The sequence below is a fragment of the Homo sapiens genome, chromosome 18, assembly GCF_000001405.40.
Source record: "Homo sapiens chromosome 18, GRCh38.p14 Primary Assembly".
Lineage (NCBI taxonomy): Eukaryota > Metazoa > Chordata > Mammalia > Primates > Hominidae > Homo > Homo sapiens.
Window position 1 is genome coordinate 45,379,583 of NC_000018.10, and position 27,564 is coordinate 45,407,146.

At 40.3% G+C, this 27,564-nt stretch overlaps 1 protein-coding gene and 1 long non-coding RNA gene across 6 annotated transcripts in view, besides 2 other annotated features; one reads left to right on the forward strand and one right to left on the reverse strand.

The window, feature by feature from the left end:
• The window catches only part of SLC14A2 (solute carrier family 14 member 2), a 515,726-nt gene that overhangs the window by 211,620 nt on the left and 276,542 nt on the right, over positions 1-27,564 (forward strand). The gene's annotated exons all lie outside the window — the stretch shown is intronic.
• SLC14A2-AS1 (SLC14A2 antisense RNA 1) overlaps positions 1-27,564 on the reverse strand; it is a 142,177-nt gene that overhangs the window by 14,696 nt on the left and 99,917 nt on the right. The gene's annotated exons all lie outside the window — the stretch shown is intronic.
• Positions 4,923-4,972: a silencer, noted in NCBI's record as "silent region_9415". NCBI's record gives its function as "represses an Ori minimal core promoter by ATAC-STARR-seq in GM12878 lymphoblastoid cells {active_cell/tissue: GM12878}" and the evidence as "EXISTENCE:reporter gene assay evidence [ECO:0000049][PMID:35858748]".
• Positions 22,635-23,834: an enhancer, noted in NCBI's record as "P300/CBP strongly-dependent group 1 enhancer chr18:42982182-42983381 (GRCh37/hg19 assembly coordinates)". NCBI's record gives its function as "activates an origin of replication core promoter dependent on BRD2, BRD4, P300/CBP, MED14 and CDK7 cofactors, with strong dependence on P300/CBP, by STARR-seq in HCT116 cells {active_cell/tissue: HCT116}" and the evidence as "EXISTENCE:reporter gene assay evidence [ECO:0000049][PMID:35650434]".

Consider the following 27,564-nt stretch of genomic DNA (forward strand, 5'->3'; position numbering starts at 1 on the left):
AATACCTTTAAAATGCTCAGTCTGGATAGTCACTTTCTACAGTGTGAATGAACACCATCCACCTTTTAATGAAGCCTAAGAGTACATCAACTTTTATCAAAGCTGAATCACTGTTAACTCACACCAAGTGTGGGATTATTTTAAGCTTTCATAACCATTTTAGATAAAATCCTCCCCACTGAGTCTCCCGTCCTCTAATTTTGTTGTTATCCCAGAACTTGGCCATGACCAAAAAGAATGTCATGCATGTACTTCATTTCATACATGGACCTGTAGAGGTATGGTTGATAAGGAAAGGAATTCTTCCCTGAGTAGCTAAGGAACACTATGTAAATCACTTTCCATCCCACCTGCCAAATGGCACAGTAATGCCCACCCCACCTTCCTCGCCAGAGTAATGTAAGGCTCCACTGGAATCATATGATTTGAAAAGGATTTGAAGAGTCAAAATAGTGACTCAAATGGAAATTTTTCAGATGACTCATTCTTCTTATACCCTAGTACCTTTTAACTATCTTTTGATGGCACCACAACACTTTCTGGGCCTCTGTCTTATGATAGTAGTGAGAGTGAGCCTTGTTTCTTTCAGTGGTTTGGTGTCCTGGAAAGAACCAGGGGCTAAATATCATAAGACCAACCATTACTAATTGTGTGACCATGAAAACACAGTTAACCTTATGGAAATTGTCAATGCCCACTAGCCAAAGACCATCAGGAAAATATCTGTAGTCGACCCAGGTGGGTTTATTACTCTTTGTAGCAATAGAGAGCACACACCATGAGAAATTATGGGCATCTGAGTAAGAGAATGTTAGAAAGAACCTATTATAGCATTTGGGCCCTGGATGGGTGATATGGGGAAGGGTCTAAGGAAATAAAGGTTTACTTAAGATTGAATGCTATCAGAAAGTAGAGACAAGTCTATGATTGGCAATCTCAATAAATTATTTCTATAGTGAGAATGAGAATCTGCAACTAGTAAAAAAAGTGGAATGCATTCATTCTACCCAAGAGAGGGTATGTTTGATGTTTCAGGGTGACACAGGGGCCTTGTTTTTGTCAGTGTTTAGACAAAATTATGAAGTTGGCTGTGCTTTGTCTCATTTTGTCTTGGTCTCAGAGTAACCTAGTTGGGGGTTTGTATACTTTGAGATTGTTTATGTCCAATAGGAGAGTAACATGGCCTAGCTGCGAGTGCCAGACCAGCTTTTGGATATTAGAAGTTGCTCTTTTCTCTTTCTCAAAAATCTGTTTAACTACTTGTTGACCTTGAATCTCAGCTACCTCATCTAGAAAACATAAATAACAACCCTTAGCCTTGTTATCGGGGATCAAAGTGGCAACACTTATGAAATGCTTTGTCAACTCTGAAGTTGTTTGATAAATATGTAGCTCCTTTGTCCAGCTCTAGTCTCCAGGATCTAGATCTGTGGACTTTCTTGAATTTTCCTGGGCACTGTTAGGCTGTCACCCCTTAGAACAGAAATCTCACCTATAGCTTCATAGCTTGAGTCCTCCAAGGAAGCTGTTCTTGAACCTTTCTGATAAACCTCTTCACAGATGGAGCCAGCCAGTACTCTGCACTTGTTAGTGAATTATCTCCCTGACCAGCTAGAGCTGAGCTCTCTGGTAGGGCAGAATCTGGCAAGTCTGAATCCACCATCTCACACAATGCAGTCTGATAGTGATGACTGGCTTATATTTGGTTAATAAATAATTACAGACTCTGAATTAAAACATCATGGGATATTAGATTTGGAAAACAAACATATCTTTGACCAAACCTCTTATTTTATAGTTGAGCAAATTAAGGATCAGAGAAGGGACGACCTCTTGAACTTATTTTCTGTGGTCTTTTCACCACAGTCACCCCAAACTGCATAAACCACAAAGACACAGGACTGGGTTTGACACAGTTCCTTTGCTTCTAGATCCTGACCTCAGCCAGTTGAGGACTTTTACACTTAAGTCCATATTTTCTTTCTTTCTTCTGCTGATGTCTTGGGCATAGTTTTTGTTGATCCAATTATATGGACTATAAGCTCCTCATAGGAATAGACTGACTGGGAACAAAATTTGTATCTTAATTCAAGTAACATTTGGGAATAACACTTTTTTGTTGTACCAAACCTCCTTCAACTCCGGGGGTTGGGGGGCAGGGGAACAGGGTGGTGAGTGGCACCAGGTTTGAGAGGCCAAATAAGAGATCCACAGCCTGCAAATGAGACATGGGGTTTTGTGGGGGACATACAGGCAGGAGCGAGAGTCCAGTGGCAGCGGGCTGGACAGGAGAACCATTTTACATGCAGTCCAGTGGTAGCAGGCTGGACAGGAGAACTGCACCACCCAGGGACAATGGGCTGGGCTGAAAAACTACAACTGCTTGCAAAAAACATGCAGTTTATATAACATTTCCGCTTAGCACCCTCCCCCTAACAGCTTCTACCTGGCAACCTTCATTCAACCCAATATTCAGGGCCTCAATCTCCTGTACAATTGTGTTCTACAGGATAGGCCAGGGGCTCAGATGATACTCATAGACAAGGGATGGATTTATGGTTGGCCACTCCCAGATTCTCTAGCTCTGAACTCTGAATACACACATTCAGTGCATCTGCCATATAGGGTCATTCTCAGAGTATGCTTAAGTTATTGCTATCAGGTGTGTTTACCATACAAATACTTGTGCTAGATGTTGGGAATACATATAGGGAGGAACTTAATATAAGCTCTAGTTTCACAGAGCTTAGACTTTTACAGAAAGTTAGTACATGGCAGAATCTATTGAGCAGTATAATGGGGGTCAAGGACAATGGGATTTTATTCTGTTTGAAAATATAGGGGAAGACTTCATGCAAAATAGGCCTGTATGTTAGCATTAGTCTCCATGACTTGGTCTGCAATACATTTAGCCACCAGGTTATGTCTCTCTGACTCTTCTGTAGTACTTAACTTTCTCCACCCCACTTTTGTTACCTGGAGAATAAGGGATTTCCTATCCTGAATTATAGAAAAGAATTCTATGCCCTTATGAATCAAAGTGAGTTTAAGGCTATTGTTATTAGTCCCTGAAATAGCTGTATCTTAGGCTGAATCTCTCTATAAAGAACTTAGAAAACTTCTAGACACTTGGTAGGCACTTGCTAAATACTTCTAATTGACACCAATGTCTTCAGATGTCTCTTTTTTACTTCACGTAGCTCTTTTGAAAACAGCTGTAGATATCCCTTTTTTCTATGACCATGCCATTCATGGGCAGTATATGGGAGAGGAAGAGTTTACTTTAGAACTGCAAGTCAAGTTTAAAATTATCTAGTCCAACAATAGTAAGTAGTTTTAATCTCGAAGAAAAGCTCTATTTGGTTGATATTGGTTGTCTCCAATGCAGTGTTGAGAAGGATTCTAAGTGTTGTTCAGTGGGAAAGAATGTTGCCATCTAACAGCAATATGTGCTATGGGAACAGACTGCTTGGCTTCATTTGTGCTGCACATTTGCCTGCCCTGAGGTATTTCAACTGTTATATTTGACAGAAAAGCAAACTAAAAACCAGAGAAGAAAAATGACTTTCCCAAGATCACAGAATGGGTTAGCGAGAAAAGCAGGACCAAGACCTAGGTCTCCTGATTCAAATACAGTGCTTTTCCCATAATCCCATTCAGCTCCCAGAAGCACCAGGGAGATTCTATTCAGTGATGCGCAGAAAATGGAAGCAACTGGCCTACTGTATACTAAAACAGCTCAGCTCCAGGTGGGAAACTTAGTGACCCTATGGAATCTCCTTCAGCCTAAGGCATTTCAGAATTCCACCAAGCTCATAGAATCCCAAAGGCTGAGTTTAGATGGTCTTAGAGATTATCCAGAGTAACCCACTCAGCCCATAGAATCCCAGAGGCTGTTTAGATGGTCTTAGAGATTACCCAGAGCAACCACTCACCAGTACAAAGTCTTGTCTACAGGTTTTCTGATAGCCCTCAACATTTTCATGTAGGCAATATTTACATGTGTTAGGCTCTCCCCTCCCTTCCCTTCTCTACTTCTCCCTTGTCTCCTGGGGTTCCCCTCACAGGCCTCCAGGTGTTCATATCCTCATGATGCTCTGGATCCAATTAGACCTGCCACCCAGGCTTAATCTTGCCCCAAGTTGTTCCATGTGTCAGTTTCTAAACCACCATCCCAGTGGCATGTGCTAGGAGAGCAATCTGAAAAATAACCTTGCATGGCTGCCCTGGGCTCTGCTTGCCTGGGCTTCTTTATTTCCTCCACTTCTGAATGCATTGGTTCCCTCCTTTCTCTTCCCTGCACCCCCAAGAAGCCCCTGACAGTGATGTGAGGTGAGAAGGATGAGTGAGGTTAATCTGAAATTCATTTTCAGGATGGATTTGAAGAGAAAGACCAATATCAAGGATAAATCCCCAGAAAATGAACAAGTTTAGAGAGTCAAGGAAGGTCCCTGGGTTGGGCAGAGGGGAAAAGAGTTGCTTTTAGATGCAAGACATGCTAGCATAGGCACTACACAGGAAAATAGAGATTGGAGGTAAATGGCATATGTGTGAAAATGAGAGAGCTAGGACTAGAAGTCTTTGTGCTTTCTCTTAAACCACTAGGACCTAACCCACTGCATTAAAAGGAGGAGTGAGAACAAGTGAGGGGGCCACACAGACCCTCTCCTCTGGTTACTATGAACTGGGCTCACCTCCCGCAGTTGGTGATTTCACCTTCAAAGTGAATAGCAGCATGGCATTGTGGAAAGCACCCTCCCTGGACCAGTCTGGGAATCCATGAACAAATTCTCTTGCTGTAAAATGAAAAGGTCAGAACTTTGCTCCCTAAAGAGCTTCCTGGCTCTAAGATTTTCTTTGTTTCTCAGTAGGAATAAGCCCACCCACCTCATAAGGGAAATATTTCTCAATTTCTTAGGGCTGCAGGGGACACCCCTGAGTCACCCCCAACCTGCCTTAGCCTGAATCTGAGTAAAGGAAGGGATTTATGATCTAATGTTAGGCACTGCTGCCCTCTGCTGGATGGTATGTAGCCAACTACCCCCGCCCCCAACCAAAAGGTATTCAGTGCCTCTCCCCCCGACAACCCCCAGCTGTCCAGGGGCTGCCCTCGCATTGCCCCCACAGTGGTGACCTGTCTTGCATCTCATGTTGCAAGTGGAAAGCCACAAAAAAACTGAGGACCCAGGAGGGTATGTGTATGTGTGATTGTTGTGGGGAGATGGGAAGTGAGTGTAAATCCAAATAGCCAATTGCTGTCAATTATGTGAAAGTTCCTCTATGACTTCAGTGAGACCTTAACCAAGGTCCCACTCAGCTGCAAACCATACACAGCTTTCCAGCATGATGGCACCTTCAAGTAAAGATGAACAGGGAGCTTTTAAGCTTCTCCTGCCTTTTATCATCGATGAGCTAAAACGCAGAAACAAAATGGGATAGTTGGATGTCGGGAGAACATCAGGATATTGTAATTGTCCTCCTCAGAGATGAAAAGGGAAGCTGAAAAACATCTGCACACTGAAATCTGCTCCAATGCACTAAGTGGGCCAAGAAAACCTGCAACCGCGAAGTGGGGCTGATTTACTGCTCTAATCACCAGCATCCAATCCGAAGCCAGACATTATCTTAAAGTACACACCACTTCCAGGTGGCGTGCAGCAAATGTTTGATTAGCACTACCAAATTCCCTGCAGGTTGATAACGCTTTCGAGTGTGCAGGAATCACAGGACCCCACACTAAGGGAGTTGGGCTGCTGCAAGCTCCACAGCAAGGTGTTTCCCTCTGGGTCAAAATCTTCCTAAGAAACACATCTCAGCCCTTCTTCCCAGGGTCTGAGACACGGGATTCAAATCAGCAGAAAGTAGAACTGAGCAGAGGAGAGAGGAGATGGATTTAGTAAGTGAGGAGAAACCAGGTTGTTTCTAGAGAGGATTGAAAACACAATAGAGGGAGAGTAGGAGATTAGTAAGACCCGTATAATATTCAATATATGTCAGGTGCTGAATATTTTATATCTCATTAATTCTCCCATTATAGTACATGGTTGCCACCACTATCTTCCTATTCTGCAAATGAAAGAACTGAGGTGTAAGTGACTTGCTCAAGATGTCTCAGCTATAAAATTATTATTGTATTATTTAAATTGGACTGACATTGATTAGGACTGACTTGAAAACCTTCAAAGTACACGGTTTGAAAGAATAGGGGATCAGATGAGGCAATACAGATGTTAGGGTATTCCAGGGGTTATATAGAAAAGTAAGAGAAAGAACCTAAGTCAGTTGATAGCATCAGAAAAGATGGAAATAAAGTGGGCTTGAAGCAGCTGAAGCTTTCACTGAGCCCCCACCATGTCCCCAGGGTAGGGTTAAGGACTGTGGGTGTGGGTGAAGCAGAAAACACAATGACTGCCCACAGGAGCTTAGGGTCTATTTGAAGGTTGTTTGGGCCAGAAATAAGAGATGCTGTGGGGTTCAGAGACGAGGGCTATGTTTGACGAACAAGGATGATTCAAATCAGCAGAGAGAAGAGCATAAGCCAAGTTATGGAGGTGAAAGTGATGGTGGTGAGTTATTCTGGGGTAAGTGAGGAGTCCCAGATGAGAAGCTACATCTGTCTAGCTGGAGTTGGTTCAAAAATTGCACCTGGAATCTACTTCTGGCTGGCTTTAAAACCCAAACTGAAGGGTCAAATGTCTCATGGAAATTTCATTTCTAAAACCCATAGATAGGGAAGGCCAGGCCAGTACAAGAACTCAGTTTTTGTGGCTTTTTGGGAGCTGGAACTCTGATTTCTGCAGTATCTTCTAGAACTCAAAGACCGCAGGAGGGTCTTGCAAAACCAAAGCCAGCCATAAGCTTGTAGTCTGAAGGCACACGGCGCCCCCTAATGGACCCAAGCATTCCCTCTGTACCTGGATTCTCTCTGTTCTCCACTATGGCTACCTGGCTGGGTACCATCCCGAAAAGATTTGCTTCCTGCCCCATGGCTGTGGGCAGACCAGCATTAGCAGATTAACTGAGTCCTGCTAACACATAGCGCAGACTCCTCCTCCACTCAACAGCTGCTAAGTTCCCTGCTTTCAGAATTAGAAGAACATCATGGTTGAGAGCATAGACTTTGGGGCCAGGCCGGAATTTGAGCCTCTGCAGTAGTGCCAACTGGCTGTGGGACCTCAAACTGTTGATTAACCTCCAAAAGACTCAGTTTCCTCAACTGTAGAATTGAGATGCTGATAGTATCTACCTCCCAGGGCTGTTGTGAAGATGATGTTGATGATTTGTGTAAACCACTTAGCACATAACCAGGCACATGGTGAGCACAGGCAGTAAATGGCAGCTTGTTATTATTAGAATAATTGTGATTCAGTCTGAATTACTCACTATGACACTCTGTGAATATTAACTTTATCTCCCTCTAGACCTTGGCTTAAACTGTTTCTGGAGTATTCTTTTCTGAGTTACTCTTTTTCTCTAAACTGGGCTCAGCCCAGTTGCTACTACTTCCATTGGGCCCTCACAGATATTCTACTCATTGTGGAAATCTCTCTCCATAAGAATTTTGCTGTATCTCCCTTACAACTTCTGTATGTTACAACCATGTATGGCCATCTCTTTTTTCTGTCTTAAAAGGGTATGCTACTTATATCAGTCAAAATAGGCAAGGTTCTGCTACAGCGTCAAGCAACCCCGTATTTCAAAGTATTAAACCCATAGCTTGCCACAACTCCTCAGCCAGAATTAATTCTATGCCCTGCCCCCCAAACAAGGAGGCAGAAAATGTAACCCTCCCACATCACCATGTCACTCCCACAAGTAAGGAGAAACAGATATTTATGAGAATGACTGATGGTTACCACACCCTGGAAAGCAAGGGCAGTCTCTAATTCTAAGTCTCCCTAGCAGTGTGCTTCATAGGCAGTAAATGCACACTATAAATCTTTGGTGAATAACTGATAGGATATATTAGTTCACAATTATGTTATCTCTCTCAATCAATATCATATTTTGAAATACATATCCAGATCAAAAATTTCTTAATGACTGCTAGTAGAAATTTCAGGTATCCTCAGGGCAAGTCAGAAGGGATGGCTTTGGGGACAGGGTCGAACTTTATTTCTCTCATGTCCACATCATGTCTCTTCGAATGTAGAAAGTTGTATGAGCTATTATGACAATCAACTGAGAAGGATTATTTGCCTTCAGGAAACTGATTCACACACTAAACAGCATTTACACATGAAACAGCTGGAAGAAAATTGAGGCTATTTGTCAAAAATGCATGAAAGCCGGTATAGGCTTTGTCCATAGGGCAGACTGAAAAGTGGGGGAATCTCTCATGAGGTCAGGTTATGTGCAAAGAGGTCATTTTTGAGGTCAGGTTATGTGCAAAGGAGGTCATTATTTAAAGGCTGTATACAGCTTGGGAAGGCTCAAAGGAGGATGAAGTCCTGGATTGCCCTAAGCTCACCTTGCTCATATCTTTTTTTTTTTTTTTTTTTTTTTTTTTTTTGAGACGGAGTCTCACTGTGTGCCCAGGCTGGAGTGCAGTGGCGAGATCTCGGCTCACTGCAAGCTCCGCCTCCTGGGTTCACGCCATTCTCCTGCCTCAGCCTCCCTACAGGTGCCTGCCAACACGCCCGGCTAATTTTTTGTATTTTTAGTAGAGATGGGGTCTCACCATGTTAGCCAGGTTAGTCTCGATCTCCTGACCTCGTGATCCACCTGCCTTGGCCTCCCAAAGTGCTGGGATTACAGGCATGAGCCACCGCGCCCGGCTGCTCATATCTTAAATAAACCAGGCACCTGAAATGAAGTCTTGCTTTACTGTGGCTGGAAAACAATTTCACTCCTCAGCTCTTGACAGCAAGAGCTCTTATAATAAAAGACAGGGCATAGGCTGGTTGGATAGCATCTTCCATTCCTAGATACCCTTCCTGGTATCTAGGGCTATTTTTCGTCTGTTCTCTTCAGTGCCCCAAGATTGCGAATACCTGGGGTTGAAGATTTTTATATATTGAGATGCTGAATCTCTAATCCTTTCTCTCTGCCACCCGCCCTTATATTCCCCAAGAGAACACTTAAGAATAGGAATTCCACTCCATGTTTCTCATCCCAGATACCAACTAGACAGAAGGGCATATTGGCACTTGCATGAAGAAGAGGTACAAACTCTTCACAAGCTCCTCAATGTGACCTATGAAGACAGGAGGTCGCTGAAGGCCACAGGTGCACACAAATACGCATTTGTGAGTGATAGGATGATAAAGCAAAGGAATTATGCTTCCAAATGTGGATTGGCTTCTTCAAAGAAGGCACATTGATGGGCTAGCATCTAGTGAAGATTTTAAAATATTGAATAAATAAGGGAAAATAGAAGTTAAATATTCATATATAAATATGTGCATAAAAATAGAGACAGTAATCTGGCATGGATGAGAATTTGCATTAACCCTTTGAGAGGCAAAACCTTTTGATTTCAAATCATTTTGATGTAAATTTTCATAAAATGTATGACACCTGTGCAAGCCCTGGTATGTAGAGAAAACTGACCATTTTGAGATTATGTGCTGGTGATAAAAAGCACCTTTCTGACCAGCTATTGGGCTGGCTATGGAAGCTCACAGCTTGAGTGATGGGATGGAACATGTGCTAATTGCAAGACAAGTTTGCGACTTGTTTTCCTGACTAAATTTGCTTATTGGTTTGATGCTCTATAATTTCTCTATCTCATAAATATGGACTACAGAATCCATCTACATCATTTTTGGAGCCAAGTAACATAGCTCTCTCTCTCCAAAAGTAATGGTCAATCCAGTGGTCAAATGAGGCTTTTCCAAAAGGATTGTCTCATTATTCATCAAGTCATACTATTTTCTCATAATCAAGAGCTGACCATTCTTGCAGTATAAAAAGCATTATTCTTATAGTTACTTCAGGATCCCAAATCAACTTCAACCAGCCTTCTTTCTTTCTTGGATTAAGTTAATAGGTTAAAAAGTGTGACATTTTAGGAATTTTCTACCAAAGGTTCTTAAAGAGTTGTTCAACTAAAGAGCTAAAAGGTGCTTTATATTTGAGAATATTTGCTTACAGGTGCCAGAGGCAATATAGGCTTAGGCAAAATAAGAAAATAGTTAAAGTCTGACATGAACTTGATGGGTCTCTCTACCCTATTTCTCTCCTCTTGTCCCACACTCACCCCCACTCCAAAATATCTGTGAATTAAATCCCACACCCACTGTAAGGAGTAAAAACGTTGACCCTGAAAAAAGATCTTTGCATTTTGATGGATATCCAAACTTTAATCTTCGAGAATGTAACTGTAGCACGTAAAAGTCCCATTGGGATATCTCTGTACCTTCCTCCTTCCTCTCAATTTTGCTAGAATGAAACCTAAAACTGCTCCAAATAAATAAAATGAAAAGTGAACCTAAAACTGCCCTAAAAATATAAAGTTAAAATCTCGTTGGTATTTGGGGGAGAATTTGAGAGGCTGAAAAGGCTTTGCCATAGGCCCTGGAACTGCAGAACATAGGGAATGCTTATTCTGCCTGCACGCAAGGCTGCAGACAGGACAAAAATCGACACGAGCACTGGGAGAAAACCAAGTTCTGAGACTGGCTCTGATATGTCCAGGTGGTACCAACAGGAGACCTTCATTTGTCCTGCTTCCTCTGGTCCTGAGCACCATCTTGTCACTGGGCTTCATGAAGCAACCAGTGAACAATCTCAGGAGTATCTAATCACTTCCTCAGTGCTTGTAGGGCTCCAAGAATGGGACACTCAGGGTAAACTGAGTGATCTTCCCATATGCTAAGCTTTATGGTAGAAATGGTGCTCCACTGTGCTGTTTACCAGTGTTGTCTGCCCCACGCCCTAGTAGGTGAATTTATTCATTTATCATTAAACAAATATTCACTGAGCACCTAATAAGTACCAGATATTGTTCTGCTAGTAAACAGAGACACAAAAATCTTATCCTAATGGAGCCTATATTTTATTACCTGAGAGAATAATAAAAGATGCACACATAAGAGAGGGTATATATAAAGTGTTAGGAGGTGAGGGTGAATACGGAAGGGGTACAATTTCAGATGGGATGGTCAGGTCTGAAAAATCTAAAGGGAATGATCACAATTGCTACCTGTCATGCAATGGCTGCTGGAGCCAGGCACCAAGCTGCGCACCTTTCACCCAGATCGTATAATGCTCACAATAACCAGGTGAGACACTCAATATTGTTGTTGTTGTTTTGCCATAAAATTATTTCTTTTTAAGTTGCTAGTAATCAGCACATTTATTTTAATACAGACACATCATTTTCACTGTAAGTATTTATGATGTTTTATGTTTTTTTATTATACTTTAAGTTTTAGGGTACATGTGCACAATGTGCAGGTTTGTTACAGATGTATACATGTGCCATGTTGGTGTGCTGCATCCATTAACTCGTCATTTAACATTAGGTATATCTCCTAATGCTCTCCCTCCCCCCTCCACCCACCCCACAACAGGCCCTGGTGTGTGATGTTCCCCTTCCTGTGTCCATGTGTTCTCATTGTTCAATTCCCACCTATGAGAACATGTGGTGTTTGGTTTTTTGTCCCTGAGATAGTTTGCTGAGAATGATGGTTTCCAGCTTCATCCATGTCCCTACAAAGTACATGAACTCATCATTTTTTATGGCTGCATAGTATTCCATGGTGTATATGTGCCACACTTTCTTAATCCAGTCTATCATTGTTGGACATTTGGCTTAGTTCCAAGTCTTTGCTATTGTGAATAGTGCCGCAATAAACATACGTATGCATGTGTCTTTAAAGCAGCATGATTTATAATCCTTTGGGTATATACCCAGTAATGGGATGGCTGGGTCAAATGGTATTTCTAGTTCTAGATCCCTGAGGAATCGCCCCACTGACTTCCACAATGGTTGAACTAGTTTACAGTCCCACCAACAGTGTAAAAGTGTTCCTATTTCTCCACATCCTCTCCAGCACCTGTTGTTTCCTGACTTTTTAATGATCACCATTCTAACTGGTGTGAGATGGTATCTCATTGTGGTTTTGATTTGCATCTCTCTGATGGCCAGTGATGATGAGCATTTTTTCATGTGTCTTTTGGCTGTATAAATGTCTTCTTTTGAGAAGTGTCTGTTCATATCCTTCGCCCACTTTTTGATGGGGTTGTTTGTTTATTTCTTGTACATTTGTTTGAGTTCATTGTAGATTCTGGATACTAGCCGTTTGTCAGATGAGTAGATTGCAAACATTTTCTCCCATTTTGTGGGTTGCCTGTTCACTCTGATGGTGGTTTCTTTTGCTGTGCAGAAGCTCTTTGGTTTAATTAGATCCCACTTGTCAATTCTGGCTTTTGTTGCCATTGCTTTTGGTATTTTAGACATGAAGTCCTTGCCCATGCCTATGTCCAGAGACACTCAATATTGTTATACCTGTTTTAGAGATGAGGTAAGCAATGTCTAGAGAAGTTTAATAACTTGTCCTGGGACACGCAGAAAGTAGTGAAAGCAGAATCAGCACTTCAGAATCCTCACCCCTGTGCTGCATTACCTCCTTGGAGTGGGCAAAGTGAAAGACACTCAAACTACCCAAGGCCACTGTGGCCCCCCAGAGAACCTCAGGACAGCTGCTGAGGTCTCCCCAACACACATGCTTCTCCCCTATGCTTGCCTGGTTTTGTACTGTGTATCTAAGGGTTTGATTTTGTTTGATCTATGTGAGTTTTTACTGCTAAATATTTGAAAGGAGGAGAATTTTTAAAACATAGTCAACTGGGCTTATGGAATACTTGGGCCAATGAAAGCCTCATTGCCCTCACAGTGCAGCATGGTAATCAGTGCACATAATATTCACCCAGCCTTCACCATAGCTCTGTTTAAAACAGGTCAGAATGTAATAGCATATTTTTAAAAGATTTTTAGCTAAAATGGCTATTTGCTTTAGATGTTATATACCATGCTTACATCAAGATTTCACTTATCTAAAATGGTAAAATAAGCTATCATTTTGTGTAACTATACACTTTATATCTGAACATCTATACATATATACCTATATTTAGTGCAAAAATATGTCATTTAAAATTCCCACTTTGAAATAAAATACATATACAACTAGGAAGTTCAATCTTTAAATTGTTGGAATTAACTTGTTTTAAGAGCACATTTGTTGTCTAATAATGTGAATTAATCTATGTTCTTTTTAACAAAGTGGTAAGTTCTTAGTAAATGAAGATAAAGCATGAAAAGGTTTTTCTTCATAGGCTCCTTCAGCATTCTTTCTACAAAAAAATAATTTGACTGGACTCCCTGTCCACTCTCAACGTCTCCCCTTATACCTTATGTGATCATATTGTTTAATGTCAGTTTTATCTGTTAATATGCTTTTAGAGTTAACTTTATGCCTATGATCACAACCAATATTTCAGATGACTATACACTTTATATCTGAATAAGTGATTGACCTTAGAGTATAGGTTGGTGGACCACTATAAAGAGGGAGAAAAGTCTCCAGTAGAGTTCTGGATGTTGTTACAGTAGTGAACAGAAAGACAAAAAGCTTATCCCAAAGGAGCTTACGTTTTATTATCTAAGAGAGATAAAAATAAAAGATGCATGAATAAAATAGGATATATGTATATAAAATGTTGGGAGCTGAGTGTGAATAGGGAAGTGATGTGACTTAGAAGAGTCCAGGAAGACCCAAATGCCTAAACACGCCTCATCCCCCTCTGTCAATCCATGCCTGAATTTTTGCCAGTGGTTGATTCATTCCCTTGATCAAAGCCTTGTCCTCTCCAGCCCAAGTTTATAACGTGTATGTACTCCTGGGAGACATGACACCTCAGTTGCTTCAATAGGATAACATGTTCCAGTTCATTTTTCTCTACAGAAAGGATTGTGACCATAAATTATCCCTGTGCATCATGGAAACCCAAAGCCTGGCACATGGAAATACTCAAAAACCTTTGAAAGATCACTATCCCAAGAAGGTGGGAGGGAGCTGGAAGCTCTTGAGAGTAACGCAAGCACTAGGAGTGGACCCAGTTCATCCAGTCTGGATTGGCCTTCTCCATATGGGGAAGCACCTTGCTTGCTCTTCCCCATTCCTTCTTGGATAGCTCTGGCCTGCTTTGCAGGCTGGATGCACAACAATTACCATTTTTCTACCAGTGACTTACCCTTTTCAGAGCAGCAGCCAACACTCACTGAGTTCTCACTATGGGATATACATATGGGACTCTGATTCTCTGAAATCCTCCCCAAATCCCTCTATGGTATCATCATCCTTATTTCACAGAAGAGGAAACAGACACCTGAGTCGTCATCATTAGTAAGTGATGGAGATGGGATCCAGATTCAGGTCTAAATGGCTCCAAGGTCCTAACCCCTCTCCACTCTGTCCTTCAGATGGTCTGAATTCATTCAGGTTTGCCCTCTTAGGGCAACTCAGGATTTTATTTGCCCTCTTAAAGAAACCAGAAATATTATGAACATTGATTACTTTGCTGTACTGTGATGCAATGATACTTTCGTTAGTCCAAGTATTACATGGGACCAATCAATTGTTTGCAAAATTAAATTCTTTCAATCCTCACCTCTATGTTTTTCTCATTCTTCTCTTGTATATCAAGCTGTCAGCAGTCACTTTGAATTGTCATCAGTTCACTACTTTGGACATCCTTATACCCTTTTAATTGCCTTTATATAATCTGTTAGGGTGCAGGAAATCACAGAATCATGCTCCTTAAAATCGTATGTAAATTGAAAATAGACAGACTCTGAATCCAGCCATCAGGCTTCACAACAAATTAAATATATATGAAATTTGTAGCTTTCTTTGAAACTCGAAGTGCTTTGGTTACTTTAAATTTTGGAGTCACAGAATATAAAAGTAAAAATTAACTTTTAAGAAATTGTCTATTTTTAAAAATAATGGCCATCCATGCTAACAGGTGTCAGGTGCTGTGATTTTGATTTGCGTTTCCCTGATGATTAGTGATATGGAGTATATTTTCATATACATGTTGGCTATTTCTATGTCTTCTTTAGAGAAATGTCCATTCAAGGCTTTTGCCCATTTTTTAATCTAGTTATTTGGGTTTTTTGTTGTTGTTGTTGAGTTGTAGGAGTTTCTTATGTATTTTTGATATTAACTTCTTATCAGATATATGGTTTGCAAATATTTTCTCCCATTCTGTAGGTTGCTTTTTCACTCTGTTGATTGTTTACTTTGCTGAAATTGGAACTCTTGTTCACTGTTGGTAGGAATGTAAAATGGTGCGGTCACTGTGAAAATCAGTATGCAGGCTCCTCAAAAAAATTAAGATAGTCCTGCCATATGATCCAGCAATCACACTTTTGGGTACTTACCAAAAAGAATTGAAATCAGGTGGGTACTGGCCAAAAAGAATTGAAATCAGGTGGGTACTGACCAAAAAGAATTGAGATCAGGATCTTGAAAATATATTTTTGCTTTCATGTTTATTGCAACATTATTCACAATAGCCAAGAGATGGAAACAACCTAAATGTCCATCAATGGATGAATGGATTTTTGGAAAATGTTATATACATACAATGGAATATTACTTGGCTTTAAAAAAGTAGAAAATCCTGTCATAGGCTATAATATGGATGAGCTTTATAGACATGCTAAATGAAAGAAGCCAGCCACAGAAGGACAAACATTATGTGATTCCATTTATATGAGTTATCTAAAGTATTCAAACTCTGAGAAGCAGAAAGAAGAGTGGTGGTTGTCAGAGTCTGGAGGAAGCCTCCATTTGGAGGCTGAGTAGAATGGGAGTTGCTGTTCAATGGGTATAGAATATCAGTCATGCAAGATGAAAAAGTTCTAGAGATCTGCTTCACAACAAGGTGCATATAGTTAACAAAACTGTTCTGTACACAGACAAATTTGTTAAGAAGGTAGATTTTTTAATATGTGGGGTTTTTACCACATAATAAAAAAGAAAGCATTTATCTAATCCAAACTTTTTTTTTGTTTTGTTTTACAGATGAAAAAAATGAGACTTAGAAGGTGGCTTTCTCAAATCACAAAGCCAGTTAGAGAAAAATAACAGACTTTACCCACCCACTCAGAGCCCTGCCCTTACTGTATGCCAGGACTGCCACCCCATTATGTCCCTATAAATCTTCTCTCCAAGCTAAATAGTTTTTCTCTGGGGTTTGGCCACCTCAACAACAGGTCATGAGGGATGTGCCTTTCAGATTTCTTTTCACCCTAACTATTCTCTCTGCCCTCACCCATATAAACACTGGTTTGTTCAGGCCCTTCTTTGGGAAGGACTCTTAGCACTGAACACATCGTTTCAGGTGTGATCAAATCAATGCAATGGTCTTCATCTTTGCCTGAACACTATACTACTAATTGCAGGGCTTAAGGGAATATATGGTGTTTGGCTAGCATATCCCACAACTGGAGTATAAAACCTTTTTGGTCAAATGAATCATTCTTAATCTTTTTTTCATTTAACTTCTAGCAAATCAGTTTATCCATATTCCAGTTGTGCAGTTTTCTTTTTACCTGAGTTCAGATCTTTATGTTTATCCTGATTAAAATGCATATTGTTTATTCTTCATCTTTGTCATATACTGAGACTTATTTGTCATCCAATAGCTAGTCTTCCCAGATCTGTGTGATCCCACAATCCTTTCTATGACTTCATACAAGCTATTGGTAAAATAAAACTGCTGAGCATGTCCAGGGCAGAGTCCCATGGAACTCTATTATAGACTTTTCTCCATCTTTGTAATGGTCTGTTAACATATACTCCTATGTCAATCATTTACTCAGATACATATTCACCCAACTATACTATCCACATTGCTCCCCCACTTGTCAACACATACTTAAAAATGTCAAAATTCTTCCCCTTTTCTGTCACTTTCTATGATTTTTTATTTTGGGGGGTTTTCCATTTATTTGTTTCTTTATTTGTAGAGGTATTCGAGTGTGAAAGTAATGAATACAGCTTGGGAGTCAACCTGGTTTTTTTTTGTTTTTGTTTTTTTTCTTTTTTCCCTCTTTTTTCCCTCTTTTTTTTTAACTTTTATTTTAGGTTCGGGGGTACATGCAAAGGTTTGTTACATAGGTAACCTCGTGTCATGGGGGTTTGTTGTATAGATTATTCCATCACCCAGGTATTAAGCCCAGTACCCAATAGTTCCCTTTTCTGCTCCTCCCCTTCCTCCCACCCTCCACCCTCAAGTAGACCCCAGAGTCTGTTGTTCCCTTTGTGTTCATGAGTTCTCATCATTTAGCCCCCACTTATAAGTGATAAATGTGGAATTTGGTTTTCTGTTCCTGCCTTAGTTTGCTAAATGTATTAGCCTCCAGCTCCACCCATGTTTCCACAAAAGACATGATCTCATTCTTTTTATGGTGACATAGTATTCCTTGGTGTTTATGTACCACATTTTCTTTATCCAGTCTGTCATTGACGGGCATTTAGGTTGATTCTGTGTTTTGCTATTGTGAATAGTGCAGCAATGAACATTTATGTGCATGTGACTTTATGGCAGAATGATTTATATTCCTCTGATATATACCCAGTAGTGAGATTGCTGGGTTGAATGGTAGTTCTGCTTGTAGCTCTTTGAGGAATTGCCATACTGCTTTCCACAATGGTTGAAGTAATTTACACTTCCACCAACACCATATGTATTCCCTTTCCTCTACAACTTTGACCACATCTGTGATTTTATTGACTTTTTAATAGTAACCATTCTAACTGGTGTGAGATGGTTTCTCAGTGTGGTTTTGACTTGCATTTGTCTAATGCTCAGTGATGTTGAACTTTCTTTTCATATGTTTGTTGGCTGAATGTATGTCTTCCTTTGAAAAGTGTCTGTTCATGTCCTTTGCCCACTTTTTAATGAGGTTGTTTGTTTTTCTCTAGTAAATTTGTTTAGTTCCTTATAGATGTTGGATATTAGACCTTTGTCAGATGCATAGTTTGCAAATATTTTCTCCCATTCTGTAGGTTGTCTGTTTACGCTGTTGATAGTTTCTTTGGCTGTGCAGAAGCTCTTAAGTTTAATTAGATCCCTCTTGTCAATTTTTGCTTTTGTTGCAGTTGCTTTTTGAGTTAACCTGCTTTATTTGAATCCTGACTCTGCCACTTACTAGCTATGGAAATTTGAGCAAAATAATGAATCTCTCTAAGTCATAGTTTCCACATTAGAGATAACAATAGTACCTACCTTTTCAAAGAGATACCGAGAAAATTTAATAAATTATGTAAAAAACTTAGTTCAGTGCCCAGCCCATGACAAGCCCTCAAGTATGAGTAATGATGTGATTATGATATAAATAAATAAATAAATAACGAAACTGCCAGTTTACATCACTTTTTTGCATTAATCCTAGCAAGGAGGTTAGGAAGTAATATTTATTGAGGGACAACTATAAGCCAGGAATTTACACATATAATCTCAGTTAATTTTTACAAAAAAAGTCGATATTTATGTATAGAAATTACTTTATATATGGGAAAACTGAGACTCAGAGGGACTAAATGAATGAGGCAAGGCCCACACAGCTTAAGATAAAAGAACCAGGGTTCTCATGGTGTTCTTTCTGAGTCTAAAGCTCTTGTCCTTTTCATCAACTTCTCTTCTTCCTTTTTCTCAGCATTGAGTGTGTGGCTGAGATCAAGGATAGTTGTTAATTTCCTACCAAAATCAAACAATGAAAGCTAAGATTCCTGAGGGAAACAAGATGGCAGCACTATTTCCAGGCTGTCTCAGGAGTCAGACAAGGTTATTATCAGAAAGCAGCAGGGATTGGGCAGGCAGAGGTTTTGCATGAAACAATAGTAAAATCAAAAGAATTAAAAGCAGGGATTCAGGGAGATATTTGTACACCAATGTTTATGGCAGCATTACTCATAATAGCTTAAGGATAGAAACCACCCAAATGTTCAATTGACAGATGAATGGATAAACAAATTGTGGTTATATACATATAATAAAATAGTATTCAGCCACAATAAGGAATGAAACTCTGACACGCGCTGCAACCTGGATTAACCTTGAGGACATTATGCTAAGTGAAATAAGCCAGTCAACCCCAAAAGGATAAGTGCTATATGATTCATTCTCTCATTCTCTCTCCACCCAACCAACTTAGGGCACTTAGAGCACGCAAACTCACAGAGACAGAAAGTAGAATGGTGGTTGCCAGAAGCTGGAAGTGTAGAGAGAGAATAAATAGTAATTGTTCGATGTGTACAGACTATCAGTTTAGGATGATGAAAAAGTTCTGGAGATAGGTGGTAGTAATGATTGCACAACAACGTACACATACTTTATGTCATCGAACGAACATTTAAACATTAAAATGGTAAATTATGTGTTTTTTACCAAAATAAAAAATACTTAGCCCAAAAAGAAATAGTATAATGACACTTATTGGATGCTAAGTTCCATCTCATTTCATCCTCACAACAATCTCAAGAAGTAAATTCTATGATTGCCCCCAATATTGAGATGAGAACACTGAGGCAGAAAGAGGTTAAGAAACTAACGCATGTTCACACAGATGATGAGAGCTGGAGTCAGAATTTGAACCCAGGCAGTCTGGCTTCTGAGTTTATGCTACACCTGGTAGAGCAAACTACCATTCCAGATTTTAAAGATAACCTTGGACTTTAGGCAACTGGGCACATTCCCTAGGCCTTAGTTGAGGTGCTTCAAGAGGCAAGCTTGCAGTGCTGAGCGTGAGATTGTGGGCACTTGAGCCCACAGAAGGAATGCAGCCCTTGAAGCCACTGCCACACTTCTCTAAGAGGCAGGGTTTGAGTTTGTCTCCAGTTCTGAACACCTTCCTAGAGCCTTATAAATATTCTGGATGTAGGCAGTCTAGCTGGGGTCCATTGATAAGAAGGTCATGTGGGTGAAATGCTACTTTGCTTGCCTTCTCCTTGGCCCACAAGAACCTGGGAAATTTCCTGGTAGTGGCTGATTTTTTTCCCTTTTATTATTCTGTTTTAGGGTTGTAGGGGGAGAAGGAAGAATACATATTATGGTGGGATGTTTTTTTCCATTTGTATCTATTTCTTTCTACTTTTTCAGATCTTTCTTCTATTTGCTGCCACCCACACACTGCCAACCACACAGGAAGACAACTGGTGAGATTACATTTGGAGTTAAAAGGGTTCTGATCATGCTACTATTCCTGGAGAGGAATTTGCAAATGAGAGTTAGTACCAAGAGCCAAGGGACAAAGCCACCCCATCAACCCCCTCTTCCTTCTTTTCTTCTTCCTCATCCTCATCACACTTGGCTGTGGCCCCAAAGGTCCTTCAGACGTGAGGCAATGAACTGTCTTATCACCACTCATGGCCATATCACAGGCAGTTGCAATTTGTGTTCCAGGGAGCTTGTCACTGGCAATTGTTAAAGCATGGAAGTTTAGAGTATACTTTTTTAAGTGTAATATTATTTGAGACAAGTTCAAACTTACAAAAAAAGTTGCAAGAACAGGATAAGGACATATCGTACACTCCTCACACAGAGACCCCAATCAAGTTACACTAAATGCTCCATTGATGTTTTTTTACAGCAAAAGAGACCAATTCAGAATCATGGATTATAGTTAGTTGTCACATCTCTCTGATTTCCCTCAATCTCAAACAGTCCTTCACTCTTTACTTGAGTCTCCTACTCTTGATGTGTTTTGCGATTACAAGGCAGTCATTTTGTAGAATATCCCTCAACTTGGGTTGACCCAACCCTTTCTCATAATTAGACCCAGGTTATGGATTTCAGTCAGAAATATTCCAGAAGTAATGCTGTGTTCTTCTCATTGGTATTCTCTAAGGTGACAAGAAATATTAGTTTGTCCCATTCATGTTGATAGTATCTTTGATCGGTTGATTTAGGTGGCATCTTCCACTTTCTCCACTTATATTAAAGTTAATTTTCCCCTTTGCACTTACTAAATATTTTCTGTGGAGATACTTTGAGATCTCTTCCATTAACCCCACTGTCACCCACTAGTTTTATTATCCATCAATGTTTCTTGCCTGAGTTAATTATTATTATGATAGTTGCCAAATGATAATTTTCTAATTCCATCATTCCTTCTACAGTTATTGTCATTCTGCTGTAGGTAAGAGCTTTATTTTCTCCCCATGTTTTTAATTCATTTGTTTGTTTATATCAATGCTTACTCATGGATTTCCCTTTTATTCAATGGATCATAACTTGTTTCTATCATTATTTGCTTTGATGCTCGGACGTGTCCTAGATTTGGCCAGAAGGAGCCCCTTCGAACTTCCTCCTGTGTCCTTTTCATCTGGCTGTCTCATTCTTTAAGTAATTTATTTGAATTGTACTTTCTCTGCCTTAGCTCTGTAGTCAGCCATTTCCCAAGGATCCCTTGTTCTTTTCAGTGAGCAAGGGCCTTTAGAAGCTAAGATCTGGGTGATAGGTGTACTCAGAACCTCTAGGGTGTTGCTGCTTGGAAGATCTCAGTTGACTGAGCTCACTCCTCATTTCTGTTAGGTCTTCATTAAAATGTCACCTTATGAGGCCTTTCCTGTTTACACTATTTAAAATTACAACCACTGACATCATCCCTCACCACAGTACATCTCTCTTTCCAGCTTTAATTTGTTTCTATCACTATCAGCACATAATGTTATGAATATTTTCATATATTTACTTTATTATGCTCCCCCACCCAAAACAATAGGTGCCATGAGGGTAGGGACTATTTTAGGTGACTAAAACAAATGAAAATCCTTGTCATCATTAATGAATCTGAAAGATAACATAGAAAGTAGCCAAGAAAAAGCAAAGGGGGAGTATGCATAATGGCCCTAAGATTAAGAATGCCACAGCCATGCTGGAAATGTCAGGAGGCTGAAGCTGATGGCTGAGGATGGGAGAGTGATGGAAATGAGGGCAGAGCTTTGCAGCTCAGCAAAAGAATTTGGTGCATTTCATTATAAGTGCAAAAGGAAGTCCCTGTAAGATTTCAAACACAAAAGTGGCCTAATCTATCTTACGTTTTTCAAATATTGCACTATTTACTAAATGGAGAAATAATTATTTGGGGCAAAAAATTTAGTAGGGATACTTATACAGAAGTTGTTTCAGGGGCCTGAGAGGAGGAGGGTCAACTATGGTGGTGGCAGTAACGTAATGGTAGAAGATGTAGGAAATATTCTGGAGATACACTCCCTAAGACCACTGGTGATACATTAGATATGCTTGATGAGGAAGAGGTATATGTCAGTAATCATTCCCAGATTATAGTTTAAATAAGAGGGAGTTAAATCTGGACCTGTCTGCTTCAGACCCTGTTAAGGTAACTGCGTTGACATCCCCAGATGGCCAAAGACAAAGAACAAGGCTTTAGAGGTGAATATTTGGATTAAGAGTTGCTTTGTAAAATCTGCCGAAGCTTCCCCTCCTACCAGGAAGCCAAATCCCCCTCTAGCCAAAGAAGTGATGATACGGGTACTGAGCACGTAAGACAGAGGCCCACAGTTCCTTTGGAGGTCTTAATAGAGAACTGGGCACTGTCAGGGGAACCCCCAGAAAGTCCAGGAATGAGGAATCATATTCCAGCCTTCTCACCCAGCACCCCTCCCTTCCTTTCCTCCTGCAAAAAAAAGTTTCTCTTTGTAATTGTCTATAAAAGATTATTGTCTGCATTTTATTTAATTATTCCGTATGAAGTAATTATGAGAGAATAATCAGCCAGTTCGCCGATAATAGACGTTTCATAAAAGAACACAAAAGACGCTAATAAAGGCAGAGCCAGCCCTCATCGCTGTCATTATTACTCTACATCTTTAATTTTCATACATTTTTATTGTTTGCCTGAAATTAATTGTCCATTTCTTTTCCTAATCAGGTTTATTGCAAGTGGGCCACTTCTAGATAACTATACCATTTGTGTGTTTATCTGGCGAATGTCCCAGTAGATCTTGTCAACATTGAAATATCTATCCAGGAGACTAGAAGGAAAAGAATCATAAAATCATTGTGCCTTGGCACTCTAAAGGACTTTGTGAGGATTTAGCCACTCCCCTCCACCCCAACCCCACCTGCCATTTTGGTTTATAAGAAAAGAATCTGAATTACTGGGAGGAGTTGGCACAGCTAGTTAGTGACAGAGTTGAGACCAGAGTCAGATCTCTTGGATGAATCTAGAATAGTGAAGCTGTAGCAAGACTTAATCATCTTAAATGAAATTCAGTTTCTATCACAGGTATGAATCATTTCAGAGAGTGGTGACTAAAGCTTCGTCATGCCTGTGCACACTACTAGGAATGTTCTACCTCAACTTCCAGTTGTTAAATACCATCTTATTATTAGTAAGGCACTTCAGTATCACCTAACAGGATGTACTGATCTGCTAGAGCTGCCTTAACAAATTATTACAGACTGGGTGGCTTAAACAACAAAATTTTATTTTCTCACAGTTCTGAGGCTGGAAATCCAAGATTAAGGTCCCAACAGGGTTAGTTTCTGGTGAAGACTCCCTTCTCGGCTTTCAGATAGCTGCCTTCTCACCATGTCCTCGTATGTTCTTTCTTCTGTGCATGAGGAGAGATAGATCTTTGGTGGCTTTTCCTCTTCTTATAAAGACACCAGTCCTATCAGATTAGGGGTCCACCCTTATGACCTCATTAATTACCTCCTTAAAGGCTCTATCTTCAGATACAGTCACACTGGGGATTAGGGCTTCAATACAGGAATTTTAAGAGCACAAAATTTAGTCCATAACATGGAATAATAATTTAATTCTACCATAGAACCTCATTTAAAATTTTTAAGCTAGTAATAGCAATAATTGCTTAGAGACAACAATGGTGCTCCATCGCTGTGGGCCATGGACACAGTGGTGCCTCTCAGACTTTTGCTTTGGGTTGCCTCTGAGTGTACTGCCTGCCTGGCCACTCCTCCTCATGTGAGCTGGCTGGAGGGCTTGTGCAGTGGCACAGATGGAGCATGGCAACAGGCAGGACTTAATTGGATGCTCCATGGCCTAGTTCATGGTCTTGGCCTAATTCACCCTGTAACTCTGGGGAAAAAAAAAATGCTGTATCTATTCTTCTTTCTATCCCCAGTATCAGAAACAGGTTCTGGCACAGAGTAACAATTTAATCAGTGATGAATGAATGAATGAATGAATGAATAAATGAGTGGACATTCTATGAGTCAGATTGCATCACCTAGCTCCCCTGCTTAAGATGCCTCAGTGACTCCTCATCACCCGTAAGATAAAGGACAAGCACTTCTGTGACTTGACTGTATTCAACCCTTCCAGCACCTCCCATTTTGGCAATGACTCCTTTCTCCCTATATCTCTGTCCACACCAAGCATCTTGCAGCTTTCAGAATACCTAAAGCTTTTCCATGCATTTGTGTCTTTTATCACACTGTTCCCACTGCCTGGAAGGAACCCATCTTTAGCTGGTTAACTGAGTTTGGGCATTAAAACTCTATTACCTCTTCCCAATTTGAGAGGTTCTCCCACTTTCTGGGCTCCCATTGCTTTCCATCTGAACCTTACCTCAGTGTTATATGTGTCCATAAACTTGTCTGTCTCCCTCCTTTAGTTATGGGATAACTCATTTATCCTTGGGTTCTTACTGTCTAGCACAATGCCAGGTATACTATGGATTAACGAGCCTAATGTACTATGATAGAAATTTTTGTATTATGTAATAGTAAGGCTATATTTTTGATCCATAAATCAAACGCCACTGCAGTACCCACCTGTGTAAGACAATTAATGGTCTTGAGGGCTCAGGGAATTTGAATGACTCCTGACTTCCCCCCTTTCCTTCCTTCTTCCCATTAGTAATGAAGTGTCTCCCTTATGTTACTTCATACCTGCTAGAATGGGAAGCTTGAAGGTTAGATGGCATAATGCAATAATTCTCAAATCTATCAGAATCTCCTGAGAAACTTATGATTCAAAATATTATCACATCTTCCCAAGGCACATACCCCCATCGCTAGTGAGTCAGTCTCTCAAGGACAGACCCCAGATATTTCTGTGATGCTCTCCAGGGCTTCCAGGGTGGGAACCACTGGTATAATGGAAAGAAGCCTGAAACTGGAGTTCCACTTGATCTGGTCACTGATGAGCAGAGTGTCCTTGGGAAGGTCACTTTCCTCTTTATGCTTTAACCAGTCTTCTGTGTGTGGAGAAAGTACAACTGGATTGGTGTTTGTCAATCTTGTTTTCTCAGCATTGGAACAAAATCTTGCACAGAGGCCCAGTATATAAAACAGAACAAAGCAGGGTTGCAGTGTTTGAGGGTGAAGAGGGCTCCTTATTCAGCCTTGTTCTCAGTGCCACCAGCACTGCCCTGAGGTGCAAAGTCCTCAAGGCACTTCCACATGGAACTTCTAGGGCTCTCCAGCATGTAACTTGAAAAATTCTAAATTAGAAGATCCATGTCCCTACTAGTTGTGGCATTTTGCAACTCCATGGTAACGTGCTTACCTTGAAAGAAGCCCTCCAGTCATTTTCTAGACAGAGTCTGGGAAGTTGCAGAACACTCCCCAGGGCAGGAGAGCCGTCTGAGAATGTGGAGGGAACAGCTCCAAGAACAAAAGACAAAAGAAGACTGGGGACCATCTTTGGAGTTCTGATATCCAAAAAGCACAGGGAAAAGAACAGAGCAAGTTGGCAAACTAAGCCAGGAGAGGTTCAAGTAGCAAAGGATTGAAACAAAAGGAGAATCTAGGCACTATGTACCTCAGTCAGGAGTCTCCGTGTGCTTAGTGCTGAAACAGAAGTCAGCAGGAGGAACAGAGGAACCAAAATTGTTCCAGGTGACCACAATAAAGTGAGTATCACATTAAAGCAAGTCGCCTGAAGTGCTTGGTTTCCCAGTGCATATGAAAGTTATATTATACTATATTGTAGTCTATTAAGTGTGCAATAGCATTGTGTCTTAAAAAAAGATGTACATACCTTAATTTAAAAATACTTTATTGCTAAATCATGCTATCAATTGGCCGGGTGTGGTGGCTCTTGCCTGTAATTCCAGCGCTTTGGGAGGCCGAGGCAGGTGGATCTTTTGAGATCAGGAGTTTGAGACCAGCCTCATGGTGAAACCCTGTCTCTAGTAAAAATACAAAAAAATTAGCTGGGCATTGTGGCACACACCTGTAATCCCAGCTACTGGGGAGGCTGAGGCAGGAGAATTGCTTGAACCCAGAAGATGGAGGTTGCAGTGAGCTGAAATCTCGCCACTGCACTCCAGCCTGTGCGACAGGGAGACTCCATCTCGAAAAAAAAAAAAAAAAAATGCTAACAGTCATCTAAGCTTCAGCGAGTTGTAATTTTTTTTACTGGTAGATGGTCTTGCCTCAATGTTGATGGTTGCTGAAGGTTGAGGTGGACATGTAAGTTTCTTAAAATAAGACAACAGTGAACTTTGCTGTATCAATAGACTGTTGTTCTCATAAGAGAATTTTTCTACAGTATGTGATGCTATTTGATAGTATTTCACTCACAGTAGAACTTCTTTCAAAATTGGAGCCAATTCTCTAAAACCCTGCCACTGCTTTATTAACTAAGTTTATGAAATATTCTAAATCCTTTACTGTCATTTCAACTATGTTCACAGTATCTCCACTAGGAGTAGATTCCATCTCAAGGAACCACTTTCTTTTCTCATTCATAAGAAGCAACTCCTCATTTGTTAAAATTTGATCATGAGATTGCAGCAATTCAGTCACATCTTCAGTCTCCACTTCTAATTCTAGTTCTGTTACAATTCTACCACATCTGCAGTAACTTCCTCCACTAAAGTCTTGAACTCCTCAAAGTCATCCATAAGAGTTTGAATCAATGTCCTCCAAACACCTGTTAATGTTGTAATTTTGGCCTCTTCCCATGAATCATAAATGTTCTTAATGGCATCTAGAACAGTGAATCCTCTCCAGAAGGTTTTTTTTTACTTTGCCCAGATCCAACAGAGGAATCACTATCTGTGGAAGCTATAGCTTTACCAAACATATTTCTTAAATAATAAAACTTGAAAGTCACAATTACTCCTTGATCCATAACTCCTTGATCCATAATATTGTATCCATCCCTACTAACACAACATCCATTGTTGGCATGGAAACAATATTAATCTCCTTGTACATCTCCATCAGAGTTCTTGAGTGACTAGATACATTGTTAATAAGCAATAATATTTTGAAAGTAATCTTTTTTTTTTCTGAGCAGTAAGTCTCAACAGTGGGCTTAAAATATTCATTCAACCATAACGTAAACAGATGAGCTATCATTTAGGCTTTGTAGTTCCACTGATAGAGCATAGGCATAGTTGATTTAGCATAATTCTTAAGGGCCCTGGGATTTTCACAGTGGTAAATGAGCATTGGCTTCCATTGAAATTCATCAGCTGCATTAGCCCCTAACAAGAGAGTCACCCTGTCCTTTGAAGCTTTGAAGCCAGACATTGACTTCTCCTCCTGAGCTATGAAAGTCCTAGATGGCATCTTCTCCCAATATAAGGCTGTTTCATT